Source organism: Homo sapiens, chromosome 1 (genome assembly GCF_000001405.40).
Source record: "Homo sapiens chromosome 1, GRCh38.p14 Primary Assembly".
In the NCBI taxonomy this organism is placed as follows: domain Eukaryota; kingdom Metazoa; phylum Chordata; class Mammalia; order Primates; family Hominidae; genus Homo; species Homo sapiens.
This window is the reverse complement of record NC_000001.11, coordinates 92,059,801-92,079,613: the sequence shown is the minus strand read 5'-3', so window position 1 is coordinate 92,079,613 and position 19,813 is coordinate 92,059,801. Positions and strand designations below refer to the sequence as shown.

At 39.2% G+C, this 19,813-nt stretch overlaps 2 protein-coding genes and 1 pseudogene across 2 annotated transcripts in view; 1 reads left to right on the top strand and 2 right to left on the bottom strand.

The window, feature by feature from the left end:
* Positions 1–4,202: 4,202 nt before the first annotated feature.
* SETSIP (SET like protein) lies at positions 4,203–5,081 on the top strand. The gene has a single exon (NM_001287737.2). The coding sequence runs from the start codon at positions 4,203–4,205 to the stop codon at positions 5,079–5,081; it is 879 nt and encodes a 292-aa protein (NP_001274666.2).
* LPCAT2BP (lysophosphatidylcholine acyltransferase 2b, pseudogene) lies at positions 11,841–13,154 on the bottom strand (annotated as a pseudogene).
* Positions 16,076–19,813, bottom strand: part of EPHX4 (epoxide hydrolase 4) — a 33,554-nt gene continuing 29,816 nt past the window's right edge. Inside the window, exon 7 of the mRNA NM_173567.5 lies at positions 16,076–16,559. Coding sequence (NP_775838.3) covers positions 16,328–16,559 — 232 coding nt within the window. The 3' untranslated portion in view covers positions 16,076–16,327. The remainder of the gene's footprint in view (positions 16,560–19,813) is intronic.

Below are 19,813 nucleotides of genomic sequence, written 5' to 3'. Positions count from 1 at the left end.
GAGCCCGGGAGGTCGAGGCTGCAGTGAGCCATGATTGCACCACTGCACTCCAGCCTGAACAGCACAGCAAGACCCTGTCTCAAAAAAAAAAAAAAAAAAAAAAATCTGTTTCATTCACAAACTCTACACACAAGGTGAAGAATAGTAATTGCTTGGAAAATACATTGGCCAGGTTGCGGTGGCTCACACCTGTAATCCCAGCACTTTGGGAAGCCAAGGCGGGAGGATCACTTGAGCCCAGGAATTAGAGACCAGCCTGGGCAACATAAGGAGACCCTGTCTCTACCAAACAAAAAAAAAAAAAAAGGAGGCGGGGAGGGGAATATATGGACTTTGTATTTGTACCATAAGATTGGCCAAGAGGTAACCATTTCTTCAGATAATGCCCCCTCTCAAATATTCAGACATCTTAATTCTGAAAAATATAACTGGATAATTGATTTTTTAAAATTAATTCCCAAATGCTTGGATGGATAATTGATTCTTAATTATTCCTGTAGAAACGAGGGGTGTCAAAGATAACATAATAGTAGCTTATATTTGAATCCTTATTATGTGATAAACGCTACTCTATTTGCTCTGTGTGTTTTAACTCAGTTAATCCTTACAACAACCATTTAGCTAGGTACTGTCTTCAGACCTATTTACAGATGAGGAAGCTGAGGCATACAAAGGATAGGTAAACTTGGCCAAGGTCACACAATGTCATATATCACACTATAATATATGGTGTGTTACACCATAATAATGGTGTATTATAACCCAGGCAGTATTTATATTTTGACTGGCAAATTTAGTCAATTTACATATACTTTTCGTAGGAATGTAAATTGGTGCAGCCATTATGGAAAACAGTATGGAGGTTCCTCAAAAAATTAAAAATAGGACTATGACATGACCCAGCAAACCCTCTTCAGGTATATACCCAAAGGAAATGAAATTAGCACCTCATAGAGATATCTGCACTTTCATGTTTGTTGCCCCATTATTCACAATAGCTAAGATATGGAAACAACCTAACTGTCCCTAGGATAGATTAACGGATAATGTTGTATATATACAATGGAATATTATTCATTCTTAAAAGAGAAGATCCTGCCATTTGTGACAACATGGATGAAGCTGGAGGACGTTAAGTAAAATTAGCCAGGCACAGAAAGACAAATACTGCCTGACGCCTGTAATTGCAGCACTTTAGGAGGCCGAGGTGGGCGGATCATGAGGTCAGGAGATCGAGACCATCCTGACTAACACGGTGAAACCCTGTCTCTCCTAAAAATACAAAAAAAATTAGCCAGGCATGGTGGTGGGCACCTGTAGTCCCAGCTACTCAGGAAGCTGAGGCAGGAGAATGGTGTGAACCTGGGAGGCGGAGCTTGCAGTGAGCGGAGATTGCCACTGCACTCCAGCCTGGGCGACAGAGCCAGACTCTGTCTCAAAAAAAAAAAAAAAGAAAAAAGACAAATACTGCATACTCTCATATGTAGGATCTTTTAAAAAGTACATAAACAGAAAGGTGGTTGGGGGAGATGTAGGTCAAAGGGTACAAAGTTGCATTTATGTAGGATGAGTAAGTATAGAGATCTAATGTACAGCATGAGAACTATAGGTAATAATATTTGTTGTATACTAGAAATTTGCTAAGCGAGTAGATTTTAGGTGATCATACCACAAAAAAAGTAACTATGTGTGGTGAGAGGGAAAACAGTAACTGTGTGATGATGATATGTGCTTGACTATATCATTTTACTATGTATGTCAAAACATCATGTTGTATACCTTAAATATCCACATGTTAAAAAAAAAAAAATCAAAAAACCACCCAGGTAGTCTAGCACCAGACTCCCTTCAAAGCCCTGCCAGATTTCTACCAGGCCTCTTTATCACCTGATAAAGTAACAACTAGGCTACTCTCTGGTTGGAAATGGGTGACAGAATGATTCCTGGTTCATGTTTTATCTTAAAACAACTTAAGTTAGGCCGGGTTTGGTGGCTCATGCCTGTAATCCCAGCACATTTGAAGGCCGAGTCGGGCAGATCACCTGAGGTCAGGAGTTCGAGACCAGCCTGGCCAACATGGCGAAACCCCGGTTCTACTAAAAATACCAAAATTAGCCAGGTGTGGTGGTGCATGCCTGTGGTCCCAGCTACTTGGGAGGCTGGGGCAGAGAATCACTTAACTATATCATTTCACTGCAGAGGTTGCAATGAGCCGAGATCGTGCTACTGCATTTCAGCCTGGGTGACAGAGCAAGACTCCGTCTCAAGAAATATATATATAAAAATAAAAAAACTTAAGGTAGCTTAGGCGGCTATGTGAAATGATTAAAGAATGAGTAAATACTCCCTTAAAAAACAAAACATGGCTGGGCATGGTAGCTCATGCCTGTAATTCCAACACTGGGAGGTTGAGGTGGGAGGATTGCTTGAAGCCAGGAGTTCGAGGCTGCAGTAAGTTATGATCACATCGCAGCACTGCACTACTTAGCCTGGGCAATAGAACAAGACTGTCTCTAAAAAAAAAAAAACAAAAAAACTTGTCATTGATGCTTCACATTCTACCATTAGATAATTTAACTTAAAGCATTATTTTTATTTTAATTCATCTCTATAGTCATTTATCCCTTAATGTGAGTGAGGTTTTCAGATGTTCTTCCTGAAATAATTTTTGATCAGGAGGAAAAGAGAGTTTAAGGAACTAGCGGTGGGAGCTGTGAAGGTAAACGTGGCTAAACTCCTAATTTGGTTTAGGGTCATCTTTAACTGTGATCTTAATGTGAGAAAAGTAAATTTAGGTAAAATTGCCTTGGAAGGAAAAACTTCTTTCAAGAACTCTAATCTCATGAAAGCAAACCCATTTTTGATGCATTATTTCTCCCTCTTTAAAAATGTTTAGGCTGAGCTTGGTGGCTCACACCAGTAATCCCAACATTTTGGGAGTCTGAGGTGGGAGGATTGCTTGAGCCCAGGAGTTCAAGAACAGCCTAGGCAGCATAGCAAGGCCTCGTCTCTACTTACTTACTTACTAAATAAATAAATAAATAAATAAATAAATAAATAAATAAATAAATAAAATTAAAGCCAGGTGTGGTGGCACATGCCTGTAGTCCTCGCTACTCAGGAGGCTGAGGTGGAAGGATCGCCTAAACCAGGGGTTAGAGGCTGCAGTGAGCCGTGATCGTGCCACTGCACTTCAGCCTGAGTGACAGAGTGAGACCCTGTTTCAAAACAAAAAATGAAAGTTTTAATATGAAAAATTTCAAATCCCAGCTACTCGAGGTTGAGGCAGGAGAATTGCTTGAACCTGGCAGGCAGAGTTTGCAGTGAGCCGAGATGGCGCCACTGCACTTGAGTCTGGGCGACAGAGGGAGACTCCATCTCAATAAATTTTTTTAAAAAAGCAAAAAGCTTTTCAGAGAGAGCAAGAGAGCTTGTTATGTTTTCCAGGCTGACCTTGAACTCCTGGGCTCAAGTGATCTTCCTGTCTCAACCTCCTGAGTAGTTGGAACTATAGGCATGTGCCACCATGCCCAGCTGAGTGGTGTTTTTTTGTGTTTGTTTTTGTTTTTTGTTTTTAAGAACTATATATAAAAATTCGCTGACCATGGTGGTTCACACCTGTAATCCCAGCACTTTGGAAGGCCAAGGTGGGCAGATCACCTGAGGTCCGGAGTTCGAGACCTGCCTGGCCAACATGGTGAAACTCTGTCTCTTCTGAAAATACAAAATTAGCTGGGCGTGGTGGTGCAGGCCTGTAATCCTAGCTACTCGGGAGGCTGAGGCAGGAGAATTGCTTGAACCTGGGAGGTGGAGGTCGCAGTGAGCCGATTATCAACCTACTGCACTCTAGCCTGGGTGACAAGAGTGAAACTGCATCTCAAAAAAAAAGAAAAAAGAACTATATATAAAAATTTAATGGATAAGACAGCTAAATATAAAAAGTGAAACTACATACTACTAGAAATAAAGTGGGTAAATTCCTTTATTACCTTGGAAAAAAGAATGCATGTGTATATGTATGTGTGTATTCCATATATTCCATGTACTCAGATGACCCCTTCTTAAACATAAGGTAACATGCATACTATATTTAGTATTCTGCATCTTATTTTTCCTCATTTAACAGTACATCCTACAGTGTTCTGCCTGCTTCCAGACGAGCAAGGAGACTCATGGTCTGGTTCTTGGACTTCCCTAACAGCATGGCCCCTAAACGCCAGTCTCCACTCCCACTTCAAAAGAAGAAACCAAGACCACCTCCTGCTCTGGGACTGGAGGAGACATCGGCCTCTGCAGGCTTGCCGAAGAAGGGAGAAAAAGAACAGCAAGAAGCAATTGAACACATTGATGAAGTACAAAATGAAATAGACAGACTTAATGAACAAGACAGTGAGGAGATTTTGAAAGTAGAACAGAAATATAACAAACTCCGCCAACCATTTTTTCAGAAGAGGTCAGAATTGATCGCCAAAATCCCAAATTTTGGGGTAACAACATTTGTCAACCATCCACAAGTGTCTTCACTGCTTGGGGAGGAGGACGAAGAGGCACTGCATTATTTGACTAAAGTTGAAGTGACAGAATTTGAAGATATTAAATCAGGTTACAGAATAGATTTTTATTTTGATGAAAATCCTTACTTTGAAAATAAAGTTTTCTCCAAAGAATTTCATCTGAATGAGAGTGGTGATCCATCTTCAAAGTCCACCAAAATCAAATGGAAATCTGGAAAGGATGTGACGAAACGTTCAAGTCAAACGCAGAATAAAGCCAGCAGGAAGAGGCAGCATGAGGAACCAGAGAGCTTCTTTACCTGGTTTACTGATCATTCTGATGCAGGTGCTGATGAGTTAGAAGAGGTCATCAAAGATGATATTTGGCCAAACCCATTACAGTATTACTTGGTTCCTGATATGGATGATGAAGAAGGAGGAGAAGATGATGATGATGATGATGATGATGGTGATGAAGGGGAGGAAGAATTAGAAGATATTGATGAAGGGGATGAGGATGAAGGTGAAGAAGATGAAGATGATGATGAAGGGGAGGAAGGAGAGGAGGATGAAGGAGAAGATGACTAATAGAACACTGATGGACTCCAACCTTCCTTTTTTAAAATTTTCTCCAGCCCTGGGAGCAAGTTGCAGTCTTTTTTTTTTTCTCTTGTGCTCAGTCACCCTGTTCTTCAGCTCTCTTTTCTCTACTCCATGGTTCTCAACTTATTTGGGGGGAAATACCTTGAGCAGAATACAATGGGAAAAGAGTCTCTACCCTTTTCTGTTCGAAGTTCATTTTTATCCCTTCCTGTCTGAACAAAAACTGTATGGAATCAACACCACCGAGCTCTGTGGGGAAAAAGAAAAACCTGCTCCCTTCGCTCTGCTGGAAGCTGGAGGATGCTAGGCCCCTGTATAGTAGTGCATAGAATTCTAGCTTTTTTCCTCCTTTCTCTGTATATTGGGTTCAGAGAGTACACTGTGTCTCTATGTAGGTCAAAGGGACAATATGGACAGTTAGCATTTACCAACACATATCTGTCTACTTTCTCGTGTTTAAAAAAAGAAAAAAAACTTAAAAAAATGGGGTTATAGAAGGTCAGCAAAGTGTGGATTTGAGATGTTTGGGTGGGTTAAGTGGGCATTTTGACAACATGGCTTCTCCTTTGGCATGTTTAATTGTGATATTTGACAGACATCCTTGCAGTTTAAGATGACACTTTTAAAATAAATTCCCTCCTAATGATGACTTGAGCCCTGCCACTCAATGGGAGAATCAGCAGAACCTGTAGGATCTTATTTGGAATTGACATTCTCTATTGTAATTTTGTTCCTGTTTATTTTTAAATTTTCTTTTTGTTTCGCTGGAAAGGGAAGATGATGCTCAGTTTTAAACATTAAAAGTGTACAAGTTGCTTTGTTACAATAAAAGTAAATGTATACACATACACACACACACACAAAAAAACAGTATATCCTAGAGGTTATGCCATACGAATGCAGGTCTTTGTTATTTCTTTTTATTATGACGGCAATTCCACTACATTTCACTCAGCTGCCATTTTAATTTCTTCTTTGAATGATTATTCATATCCTTTGTCCATTTTGCTTTTGGTCTTTTCTCTATTTTTAGATGTTGGAGATATTAGTGTTGTCTGTGATATAATTTGCAAATATATTTTTCCCATTTGTCATTTGTCTTCTGACTTGGCTTGGCTTTTGGTGGGTTTTTTTTTTCCCCTGGTGTTTTTGTTTTAATGTAGTCAAATTTATTCTTTCTTTTTGTTCATTTTTTCTGGACTTTGAGTCATAGGTGGAAAGATTATCCTGACTTCCAGATTGTAAAAGAATTCATACGCTTTCCCCTAATAATGTGTGATTTCACTTTTTATACTTAGCTATTTAATTCATTTGGAATTTATCTTGTTACATGGTATGAAGAAAAGATCCAATTGTATATTTCCTTTTTTTCCAAGTGGCTATCTAGTTATCCCAATACCGTTTATTAAAAGTCAGCTTTTCCCCTTCTCATTTTAGATGCCACTTTTATCGTATGCTAAATTGTTTTGTCCCTTAGTTCTATTTCTGGACTTTCTAGTCTATCACATTGTTCAGGCCATCTATTCATGTGCCAATATCACAGTTTTAATTATAGAGGCTTTATATACATTGCTTTAAAAAAATTTTTACTGGCTGGGTGCAGTGGCTCATGCCTGTAATCCCAGCTCTTTGGGAGACTGAGGTGGGTGGATCACTTGAGTCCAGGAGTTTGAGACCAGCCTGGGCAACATGGCAAAACCCCGTCTTTATCAAAAATAAGAAAGATTAGCCCTGGGTTGTGGTGTGCACCTGTGATCCTGGCTACTCTGAAGGGTGAGGCAGGAGGATCACTTGAGCCCAGGAGGTGGAAGTTGCAGTGAGCTGAGATCACACTGCTGCAAACCAGCCTCGGTGACAGAGCAAGATCCTGTCTCAAAAAATAAAAAATAAAAATAAATTGCTGAATGTTCTATGCCCAAGGGTGAGGGTGCAGTAATTTTTTGCCTTAGTATTGGTCAACTGTTAATCTGCTCAATGTCCTCTCAGTGCTAACAGCAACACAAAGAACTGATAAAGCTGAGAATCCTGCACAAACCTCACTTATACTGTTTCTGGACTCTTCCCTGCATGTATGTAATGGTTAAAAGCATAGACTTTAGAATCATGATATTGAATCCAATTTAAGTTGTTTATTAGTTGTGTGACCTAGCCTACTGGTCTAATAGTCTAAGTCTATTGAGCTTTAGTCTATTGTGATGATCCATGAAGCTCTCCAAGCCTCAGTTTCCCTATAATGGGGATAAGGGTACCTCATGTGGTGGTTAGAAAGACTAAATGAGATAATCCATGTAAAATTCTGCTATGTTGTGCATTATTAGCTTATGACTTATCATCACAAAGTAGTTTTGAAGGTTACTCTTTAGAGTTTTACCTTTCCCCTCACACTGTCTTCCATTCAAATAGGCAATGTCATTTTGCTGTTAGTGTTTGTTTCCTCCTAGCAGTTAAGTTTTACTAGCTCCAGTGGATGTGGTGGGTTTACAAAGGTGATAGTGATGATGACCACTGAAGGTCTTCATGTACAGGGAAGTTGTAATTTTGATTTCTTCCTGCCATCATATTTAAGAATAGGCAGCCATTTGGAAAAGCCATTTCGAAAAAGAAAAGCGATTACAGAATCAGAATAGCACCGTATTACAACCCTCAATGATCTAAGTGATGAACAGCAATAGCTGCAAAAATCACAAAAAGAAAACCAGGCAATATATGCTTTCTGATGAAAAACACACTACATGTATGATCTTGCCAAATGAATCAAACCTGAATTTGATCAAGCCTCTGGATTCCAATCAGCAGAAAATACAATCAGCAGAAGGATATGCTGATTTGTACCATAAATATGCACTTGGCAAAATGCAGACTATGGGAAATTCCACAGATCAAACAGCCTAAGTTCTGCAATAGAAAAAGTATAAGCAAAATAAGGGATGGAAGGGAAATCTGTAGATTTTAAAAGGCCTAAAAAATATCTTTCATGGGCTACAATGTAGGGAGAAAAAACATCCAATGTCAAAAACGCGCATGAATAAACTATAGGGTCTAGGAATAGCATCTATTATTAGAGTTTTCTGTTTCTCTGGAGATAGATATAGATAGATAGATAGATGATAGATATAGATAGATAGATAGATAGATAGATAGATAGATAGATCCAATTGGAACCAATATCCAATTGGTTCTGTTTCTCTGGAGAACTCTGTGGGTGGGTGGGTGGGAGTGTGTGTGTGTGTGTGTGTGTGTGTGTGTGTGTGTATGGGGTAGGGGGCAGGATTTAAGGAACTGGCTCACACAATTGTAAAGGATTGGCAACCATCAAATCTGTAGGTAGGCCTGCAGGCTGTAGACCCAGGGAAGAATTGCACATTAAGTCTACAGGCAGTTTGCTGGCAGAATTCCTCCCTCTCCAGGGTAGGTCAGTCTTTTTCTATTAAGGCCTTAACTGATTGGATGAGGCCTACCTACATTATGAAGGGCAGTCAGCTTTACTCACAGTCTACTGATTTAAATGTTAATCTCATGTAAACAATCTCTTCACAGAAACATCTGGAGTAATCTGTGACCAAATATCTGGGTACCACGGCCTAGCCAAGTTGACACATAAAATTAAGCATCACGGTATCAAAATATGCACATTTAGATGATTAAAAAGTAAAGAAATACAGGAAGTGAAGCTATCCAAGTCAGGAAAGGAGCTTAATTTTGAGAGGAAGAGGGAGTTTGTAATTATGATAGGGGTATGCAAGAGCTTGTAAGGTGGCTGGACAAGTTTTATTTCTCAATCTGAGTGTTGGTTGCAAGAGTATTCATCTTTTTTTTTTTTGTTTTTTTTGAGATGGAGTCTCCCTCTGTCACCCAGGCTGGAGTGCAGTGGCGCAATCTCGGCTCACTGCAACCTCTGCCTCCCGGGTTCAAGTGATTCTCCTGCCTCAGCCTCCCAAGTAGCTGGGACTACAGGCGCCTGCCACCACGCCTGGCTAATTTTTGTATTTTTTGTAGAGACAGGGTTTCACCATATTGGCCAGGCTGGTCTTGAAATCCTGACCTTGTGATCCGCCTGCCTCAGCCTCCCAAAGTGCTGGGATTACAGGCGTGAGCCACCGCGCCCGGCCAAGAGTATTCATCTTAAAACAGATTATATTTAGAATATGAAATATAGATATTTATAATATAAAATAATTATTAGCTATAGATTTCCCTGATATCGTTTTCTGTATCTGTATTTATTTTAAAATAAAAAAAATTTAAGTGTTAAGTGTTAAAGAGGGTTTAAACAAAGCTATGTTAAACTTTTTTTTTTTTTTTGAGAGAGAGTCTTGCTTTGTTGCCCAGGCTAGAGTGCGGTGGCGTGATCTCAGCTCGCTGCAACCTGTGGCTCCTTAGCTAAAGCGATCCTCCCACCTCAGCCTCCTGAGTAGCTGGGACTATGGGCATGCACCACCATACCCAGCTAAACATTTGAGGTTAAAATGTAGAGAGTATAATAATGACCCTGCTTTTTTGAATAGCTCACTATCTAATGAGAAACAACCTTAAAAGAGTTCTACAAATGTTTAAGTTGCACTACTACTGTTTGAATAAAGATATTGCTTGATAACTACTTTTAAGTGAAAGCTCTTATTTAAATGAATAATTTTCAGTACACTTAAACAAATCATTGTTTTGAATTCTATATATATATATGCATTTATTATCATGGGAATATTGCACCGGATGGGGATTATGAAAGATCGCTTATCCAAATCCTTTTTTTTTTTTCAGGGCAGAACTGCATGGAAATTATCTCAAAATAATATTTGATTTTTTTTTTCTTTTCCTTTCCTTCCTCATCTCCTTACTTTTCTCCCATTCTTCTCTTCTTTCTTTCTACCTTCTGAAAGTATCAGGAAACTGACGAAGTTAAAGCTTTAGGTGCCCCACTTCCATAAGCCCCTTCTAGGGTTCTAGTAGCATCCCTAAAAATGTGTTTACTTGGTTATGTTTTTGTAAAGTTGGCAAACTTTGGTCAAATGTTACCTCATATCTGGTGCTACTGAGTAGCTACAACCATCTTTAAGATTCAGTCACAGTGAAACTAAGTAGGGGATTCAGTGATTAGGGCTGGTGGAGTATGTTTATCAGTTCACATTCACTTCTATGTCTAGATAGGTTGTTGCTCCCTGTCTGGGTATGGGAATGGTTTCCAGGAATACTTTGCTGATTCATCCTGCATGGTGACATGAAGGGGTAGGGCCCAAGGGTCACATCACTATGTGAAGATGTCACATAGTGACAGGTATTGGAAATAAATGTGTAAATAAGTAGAGGCTTCAATTCTCATTGATGCCTTATTGGAACAAAAATAATATTTTCAGTAATGCAGAACATGTTAATTATAAACACATTTTTTTGTGTTTTGATTAAAGTCATACAGAATGAAATTTGTCAAAATTCCTATATTTATGACCTATGTTTATGATATTTTTACAGGTTTTCAGAAATTTTAATCTGTTGTGATTTCTCATTCTAAATAATCACTTCTATACTTTAAAAAGGCAAGCAGGGAACAGGCATACCATATATAATTGTTGCAATGTATTCCCCACACTATATCTTCCTAATATTTATTTTATCTTGAAAAATAAGAAAATGTGGCCAGGCACGGTGGCTCACGCCTGTAATCCCAGCACTTTGGGAGGCCGAGGAGGGTGGATCACCTGAGGTCGGGAGTTCAAGACCAACCCGACCAACATGGAGAAATCCCGTCTCTACTAAAAATATAAAATTAGCCGGGTGTGGTGGCTCATGCCTGTAATCCCAGGAGTCTTGGGAAGCTGAGGCAGGAGAATCCCTCGAACCTGGGAGGCAGAGGATGCAGTGAGCCAAGACTGCACCATTACACTCCAGCCTGGGCAACAAGAAAGAAACTCTGCTTCAAAAATAATAATAATAAATAAGAAAAATAAGAAAATTGAGGCTACTTTTCAAATGACTAAAGAGGTATTTATATAGCTCTTTTCTTTTTTTGGAGGAAATGCAAATGGTAATTTAATGTTTTTATTTACTGTCAGTGTAGCTCTTTTTTTTTTTTTTCTTCTTTTTTGAGATAGGATCTCTGTCGCTCAAGCTGATACAGTGGTGCAATATCTGTTCACTGCAACATCTGCCCCCCGGGCTCAAGTGATCCTCCCATCTCAGCCTCCTGCGTAGCTGGGACTACAGGTGCACGCCACCACACTAGGCTAATTTTGTATTTTGTTTAGAGGTGGGGTTTTGCCATGTTGCCTGGGCTGGTCTCAAACTCCTGGTCTCAAGCGATTCTTCCACCTCAGCCTCCCAAAGTGTTGGAATTATAGGCGTGAGCCACCATGCTTGCCCAAGTGTAGCTCTTAATGTGATATTTTTTTCTGCAACAGTGAGGGACAGGTGATAGGCTTTAATGTTCCTCTGGCCTTATTTTAGCATTAAATACAATAAAGGCACTAACTAGAACCCTGCTGGGTGAACAAGGTTTATGACTAGATCACTTGTTCTTCTACATTTAGGTCACATTAAAACAAATGCTATCTTAAGAAAGAAGAAAAATAGATACTATTAAATCTAACTGAAATATTCCTCAAGCATATTTTAAATATCATAATTGTCTATGCCTCTTAGAGTGAAAACTATTGAGTTTTTCCTCAAAGAGTAATTCTTACTTCAATCATCATTTCTACCTAGAAGATACTTTCACTGTTTTCAGGGCTAACTTGTAACATTTGAATACAGTGATTAAAACTGTACTTTTTGGGGTAATGAATATATATAGGCTGCCTGGAGGTCTAGGTGTGAATTAAATAAGTTGGGATATGCTGGATGCTTCAGGGCAAATTTCTTAAATCTCTCATATGAAATGTACACTGATTTCTGTCCAGCTATTTCCTGAAGAGCCTGGAAACATCAAGATCTGGCACTCCAAAAGCTGCCTAAAGTATAGCAGCGAACTCCTGTTCTGTTATTAAACCATCCGCATCAAGATCAAAAAGCTTAAAGGACATTTGCAGACTCTTTTCAGACCTATTACATACTCTCTGAAGTCTATGTTGCCATCATTATTCCTGCCGAAGTGGGCAGGGGGTTGTCTCAAGGGCTCTGAAATTGGGAGTTTTAAATAACTTGAAAATTCTTCAATTCCTGTCTTCCCTCCTTTTGAGGCAACTGCAATTGCAGCATATTCATCCAAATGCTGATGAATGTTATCCCTGTCTAACTTCAACTTCTGGCTAATGTTTGTAAATTCCACCAAACCAGCTTCTACGGGTAGTTGAAGGTTACCTGCGGAGATCATCACTCTGCAGCCTTCGTAAGTGTGCCCTGTCCCAGGCACCCCTAGAGCATTTGCCATGTTGATGTGTGCTGTATTGGCAAAAAGGATGGGGTCTTTTTTTTCTTCATCATTTGGGATATAAACAGGCATAAACTCAACTTCTACCCTGGTGAAGAGTTGACTGAGTGTCAACATACAGGCCTGTAAGGCTGTGAATCCCTGCCAGGTCCAGATTGCCATGTCCAGGGTGTTTGGGTACCTGAGCAGCACTGGCTACACAGGAACACCTGGACAGAAGGCCCCTGGTTTAAAAGTGACTAGACGGGAGCGATTGATGCACACACCTTCTAGGAAAATCAGAATCTGTGGCCACTTCTTTCCAAATGTCACTCACTTCAGGATTTCATCCTTAGTATTCTTCCTGGAATGGGAGTCTTCTCAAATCACAAGCACCAGCTGTGTTGACAGTAGGAATTTCCCAGCCAATGGGATCTGCACATTTTGACTTGCAGAGACCACTGAGGGTAACCCTGCCACCACACAGGGGATTGAGTCAAAGAAAGTGGACCGTGGTGCTGTAACGAAGATAGGGGCCTTGTCTTGGGTTGCCTTTTTCCCTTTCACTTTAGCCAGGAACCCAAGTAAAAAGAAAGCCACCTGAAGCATGAGCTTGAGTACTGGTTTCACCAGTTTTTTTTCTCCAACTCTTGGCAGGGTTGCAGGATTTGAGCAGGATAGCCAAAGGTGGAAAGCATGGCCACTGGCCAGATGAAGAGGAAGGCGATGCAGGACATTCGTACCCACGAGGATGATGCAGGTCCAGCACCATGCACAGAGGCGTGTCTGCTGAGGATACAAGGACTTGATTAGCTCCTGCGTGATCCCAGACTCCTTCGCCTCCAACTCAGAGTCTGTGGATGCAGAGCCGTGAAACCGACTTAGCAGACCCAGGCTGTGTGTAGCCTGGATTTGGGGGCAGCCTTTGACATGCACCCTTCCCCACATCCAACTGCTTTTTCTGTTTGCACATAATTAGAACTGTTAGAGGAAATTGTAGGTTAATAGAAAATGCTGCATTACCTTTAAAATCAGAAAAATCAAAGATGGTAAATGATGTAACAGGAGAATTTGAATCATATCAACAGCACATTCTTTCTTTCTTTTTTTGCAAACATCTTGCTTTTGACATATGCCTAATAAATTATTTTCACATAGCAATTTCTGATGTTAAATTAGGCATATATTATATACTACTAGGGATATATTAATTTGAATAGATGAATATTATTAATAATTACAACTTTTAATTTAGGTGCCATTACCTGTTTTTATTTACTGTGAGCTGCTTTGGCAGCTAGTAAATCAAATTCACTTACTTGCCCTACCAATAGATTTCTACAGAGATAGTAATAACTGTTTATCCTAAGAGGTTTAACTCAAGATGGCACCCTTGAGGCTTTATATCTGTTACAAGTACTTTTCCATATCTATTAAAAATTAGAGTACATTCATTGTAATAGGCCGGAATTGCCCATGGAATGTTTGATTGATAAATTCTTAAAATTAGTCCACATGAACTTGTCAGCTTCCTAAACTGACATAAGTAGCAACAACAACAAATCTTAAAATCACCTTTGTCAGTAACAGGTTTTTATTAAAATAAGTCAGGATTACTTTACTGTGTCAACACGTCCCATTCTTTCCCTTGTTGCTGCCCTTCTGGAGGGATCAAGAGGGAAGCAACAAGTTGGTATGAACCAGGATTTTTCTATACCTTGTGGCATTTGCAACTCTGACAATGCTCTATAGAATATTCCTATGTTTACTAATGGCTAATTTGAATTCCTTTTCCCTCCCAAAATTAAAAGTCAAATTGTAGGTTCCTGAGAGATATGGCCATCTATTGAAACACACCAGATTACTGCTGAAACAGGAAGAGTGGCGTGGATACCACAAGTCTGCTAAATGGTATCTGGTGTAAGTGGGATCATGGGCTTTACCACCAGATGGCTCTAGGTCAGATCCTAGCTCCAGAACTTACACTATGGGCATTGGCAAAGTTACACGTTAAATCACATTTTTACTATTTATAAATTGGTGATACCTACCTTGCATGTTGTTACGAAGCAATGTGTTGTATAGAGAATTGGATTTTTGTTGTAAATACAACTTGCTGTGATACAGTAATGAGAATTCTTAGGGACATTCTCCTTTGTTCTGTCACGATCAGAACTATGCTTAATGAGGGAAGCAATCCTTTCACCAATTTAGGGCTTATTTGTTCTGTGATGTGATTTGGCAGTGTTACTGGTTGCCTCCCATGTTAAAGGGGAACAACCCAAAAGAATGAGTAGTAGTCCCCTGAGTTGGTATTGTTCTCTATTCTGTAACTCTTTTCAACTCTTACTTATAATGTTCATTTCTACTCTTGAACCTTTATTTAATTTGACTGCATTCTATGTATGCGTCTTTTTTTTTTTTTTTTTTTTTTTTTTTTTTTTTTTTTTTGCTCTTGTTGCCCAGGCTGGAATGCAGTGGTGCAATCTTGGCTCACTGCAACCTCTGCCTCCCAGGTTCAAGCAATTCTCCTGCCTCAGCCTCCCAAGTAGCTGGGATTACAGGCATTTGCCACCATCCCCGGCTAATTTTTGTATTTTTGGTAGAGATGAGGTTTCACCATGTTGGCCAGGCTGGTCTCGAACTCCTGACCTCAGGTGATCCACCCATCTCAGCCTCCCAAAGTGCTGGAATTACAAGCATGAGCCACCACACCCAGCCCTTAAGGCTTCTTATGGGAAAGTTCTATGTTACCACCTTATCTTTCTTTTATATTCCCCACCCCCCCGCAGTGCCTAGCAGTGTGCCAGATATATTATTTATTCATTAAGCAAATGTTTGAGTGCCTACAATATGCCAGGCCCTTAGTCTAGACTTGAATATGTATCAGTTAATAAAACAACAAAAAAATCCCTGCCCTGTGGAGCTTAGATTCTAGTGCATATAAGATGTGTAATATTCAATTCTCGTTGCATTGAATGGGGTAAAAGGATCCTTTCCTTCCTTTTCCCTCTCCCTTTCCCTTTCCGTTCCAACAGGGTCTCACTCCATTGCCCAGGCTGGAGTGCAATGGCCCAATCATGGCTCACTGCAACCTCAAGCTCCTGGACACAAGCGATCTTCTCACCTCAGCCTCATGAGTAGCTGGGACTTCAGGTGTGCACGCCTACGCCTGCCCACTTTTATTTTTTATTTATTTTTGGTAGAGATGAGGTTTTACCATGTTGGCCAGGCTGGTCTCAAACTCCTGGTCTCAAGTGATTCTCCCGCCTTGGCTTCCCACAGTGCTGAGATTACAGGCATGAGCCACCACGCCCAGCCAAGATGTCAGCTTTAAAAAATGGTTTAATGTTCCCAGTATAAATAGTATATGGCCCATTTTAAAAATGCATATTCATTTAGCTATATTTGCCTTCAAACTAATAGATATACTATAAATCCAAAGAGATTCGATAATATAACTTTTTAATGGTTAAAAATAGTAAAAAGAATTTTTGAACAATAGAATGAAAATTTATATTATTTCAGGTTTGCCTTATAATATGGCACAGCTAATCTTTAATATACATTTGTAAAAGGCACCATATGTTAACAGAGTAAAAAAAAGCAAGAAACCAAAATGGAAGCACTTACTCCAAACTTCCTTTTTGTACAAGTGTATATATTTTAAGGCAGATGCTTGTCTGTGCAAAATACACCAGAAGAAAATCAACATTGTATTATATGTTCACATGATCTCAGATTTTTTTCAATACCATTTGTCAGGATATTTATTTATGATAAAGCACATTAAAACAGTTTTTTTCTAATAAAACATAAAGAAGTTGATGAACAATTTTTAAAAATTATTTAGAGATTTCATTACAGACCCTTCATAGAAGATAAAGAAAAGTCAATCTTTTTTTCTTGTTTCTTCTTTTAGAAATGTCCATATCAATTTGTTCACTATGTCAGGTTGGTCTTGCTGAAGCCAATGACTGGCTTCTGACAAAATAGTTAGCCTGAAATAGTTTTTAACATAAATCTTTGTGACTTCAGCCATCTCAACCTCCATGAATGCGTCATTCTCTCCCCACAGTAGTAGTGTTGGAGTGGTCACCATGTGATGTTTGAGAGGCAGGCAGCTATAAAAACAAAATACATGGGCTTGAGATTCACTGTCAAAGTTAAAATGACATTTTCCTATAGTGCCCCAGTAGGTCATACATTCTTGAAGTGAGCAATCTTGCCTCTAAAAGGGTGAAAATTGTGTTCTTGGGAGGGTGAAAAAAATCTTACCCTTTGCATATATAAAGCATGGATATACATACAGTACATAAACAGATACTAAAATTTCACAGGGTGGGGGTGATTAGGGAAAAAAAAGTCTAAAAAGGCTCCTTAGGAAAGTGATAATGAAAAAGTGATTGAGAAACAATGCATTAAGTAATCAACATTTACTATAAAATATTTAAAAGGCTATTTAAGAAAAGACCCAGTAAAATTTAAATTGGATGAGGCTAGTAAAATGTATAATAAAAGCTGTAAGTTAAATAGGAAATTCATCACTATGAGGAGTAATTTGTTTCTTTTTTTTTTTTTTTTTTTTTTTTTTGAGATGGAGTTTCACTCTGTCACCCAGGCTGGAGTGCAATGGCACGATCTTGGCTCACTGCAACCTCCACCCTCCGGGTTCAAATGATTCTCCTTCCTCAGCCTCCTGAGTAGCTGGGACTACAGGTGCCTGCCAATGCGCCTGGCTAATTTTTTGTATTTTTAGTAGAGATGCGGTTTCACCATCTTGGCCAGGCTGGTCTTGAACTCCTGACCTCTTGATCCACCCGCCTCGGCCTCCCAAAGTGCTGGGATTACAGCCGTGAGCCACCGCACCCAGCCAGGAGTAATTTGTTTCAAAAGGATACCAGAATTACTGAATGGTGTAATGAAAGAGAGATTTAAACTATTTATATGTTACTGTTTAGCTTTATTTTAAATTGTTCCTAGATAATCTGATGCATTTTATGTGAAAATTGGAGATGAAAACTCAAAAACTATATTTGAACTGAGCTTTAATATTACATGATACTATATTTTGCAAGAAGATTATTTTTTAAAACAAAGTTTTTGTTGTGTATATATATGTTTTTAAAATTAATTTGAGATGGGGTCTTGCTATGTTGACCAGGCTGGTCTCAAACTCCTGGCTTCAAGTGATCCTCCCATCTCGGCCTCCCAAAGTGCTGGGATTACAGGCATGAGCCAGCACACATGGCCTATACTTTCTTAAGTACAGAAAAATATAAATAACAAAAATAAAATCATTTATAATTCCATTATCAAAAGGGTAATATTTTGGCATTTTCTATGCATATTCTTGAAACCATACTATAAATATAATGCAATATAGACAATTTATACACAGTACACGTATGCAAGTTTCACATTAAATGATACCAAGAATTTTCTCATTTCATAACATTTTTCAAAAATAATTGTAAAAGATACTAGTTTATGGCATAACTCATAAATGACTTGACTATTCCCCTATAATTGAATATTTAGGTTTTGTGGTATTTCTCCTTGTTTTAAATTATGCTATAATAAGCATTTTATGCCCAGATTTTTCTTGGCATTTCTGATAATCCCTTTGAGCTATAGCCTAGAAGTAGAATTCCTGAGCTTAAGGGAACAAATATTTTTTAAGCTTTTGACATCTTCTGTTACTGTTTTTCAGAAAAGTTGATGGTATTAATTATACTCCTATTGATTAAGAAGGAAAATGAACATCTAACTGTTTAGCACTGAGTCACATTTTTACTAGTGAATAAAAAAGCCTGATTTGTGGCAATTCAGAGTTGACAGCAGGATATTACACATGCCCACCATGGACTTAACTTCTGACACCATGCAAGTAGCCACCATTTGGTTGTAATACTCCTAAAAATTAAATTCTTTGTAAATGGGTAAATTGATAGAAAAGTGTATTTTATACTTACTAACTGATGGGTTAGAATACAAACTTTAGAGCCGGGCACGGTGGCTCACACGCCCCAGCACTTAGGGAGGCCAAGGTGGGCAGATCACCTGAGGTCAGGAGTTCAAGACCAGCCTGGCCAACATGGGAAACCCTGTCTCTATTAAAAATACAAAAATTAGCCGGGTGTGATGGCTTACGCCTGTAATCCCAGCTACTTGGGAGGCTGAGGCAGGAGAATCGCTTGAACCCAGGAGGCAGAGGTTGCAGTGAGCCAAGATCGCACCATTGCACTCCAGTCTGGGGAACAGAGCAAACTCCGTCTTAAAAAAAAAAAAAAGAATACAAACTTTAAAGCCACTTACATTCTAGAGCACAATAATGTTCAAAACCAAACCATTTTCTAACAGTTATCTGCATGGTTTAGCAATATCGGTGCACAGAACAATTGAATTAGTAAAGTAAGGGGAGTTTTAAAAGACCATTAGTCAAAGAGCCAGGCTGGTTTTGAACTCCTGGCCTCATGTGATCCACCCACTTTGGCCTCCCAAAGTGCTGGGATTACAGGTGTGAGCCATCGCACCCGGCTACCTATTCTTTTCTTTAAAATGATCTCGGCCATTCTCCCATAGAAATTTTAAAATTAGCTTGTCAAGTTTCATTTAAAAACTTTCTTATGGTTTTCACTGAAGTTGCATTAAGTTTATAGAATAATTTGGGGAGAATCCAATAACTTAATTATTTTATTTTTAAATTATTAATTTAAAAACTATTTTTTTTTTTTGAGACAGGGTCTTGACGTATCACCCAGGCTAGAGTGCACTGGCACTCCATCATCATCATCATGATGCAGTGAGCAACATAGCTCACTGCAGCCTTGAATTCCTGTGCTCAAGTGATCCTTCCACCTGAACCTCCTGAGTAGCTGGGACTGCAGAGGCATGCCACAACAGCTGACTAATTAAAAAAAAAATTTTTTTTTCTAGACACATTGTCTCACTGTATTGCAGGCTGGTCTGTAACCCCTGGCTTCAAGCAATCCTCCCACCTCAGCCTCCCAAAGTGCTAGGATTACAGGGAGTCACTGTACCTGGCCCCAATAACCTTATGATATTGCAGTTTTCCACTCATGAACATGATAAACCAGAGCTGGTTTTCAGTAGTTTATACCAGCAAGTCTGTATCAATTGTGAAATTATTAAAATACTTCTCGGTGGGGCAGGGTGGCTCATACCTGTTATCCCAACACTTTGAGATGGTGTCCTTTGAGGCCAGGAGTTCGAGGCTGGAGTGAAGTGTGATCATGCCACTGCACTCCAGTCTGAGCAACAACAAAGTGAGACCCTGTCTCAAAGAAAAAAAAAAAACTTCTCTACTGGTTGGTAAATAGCCACTGCTCTAAGCCCATATTCTTTAATGTCTTAG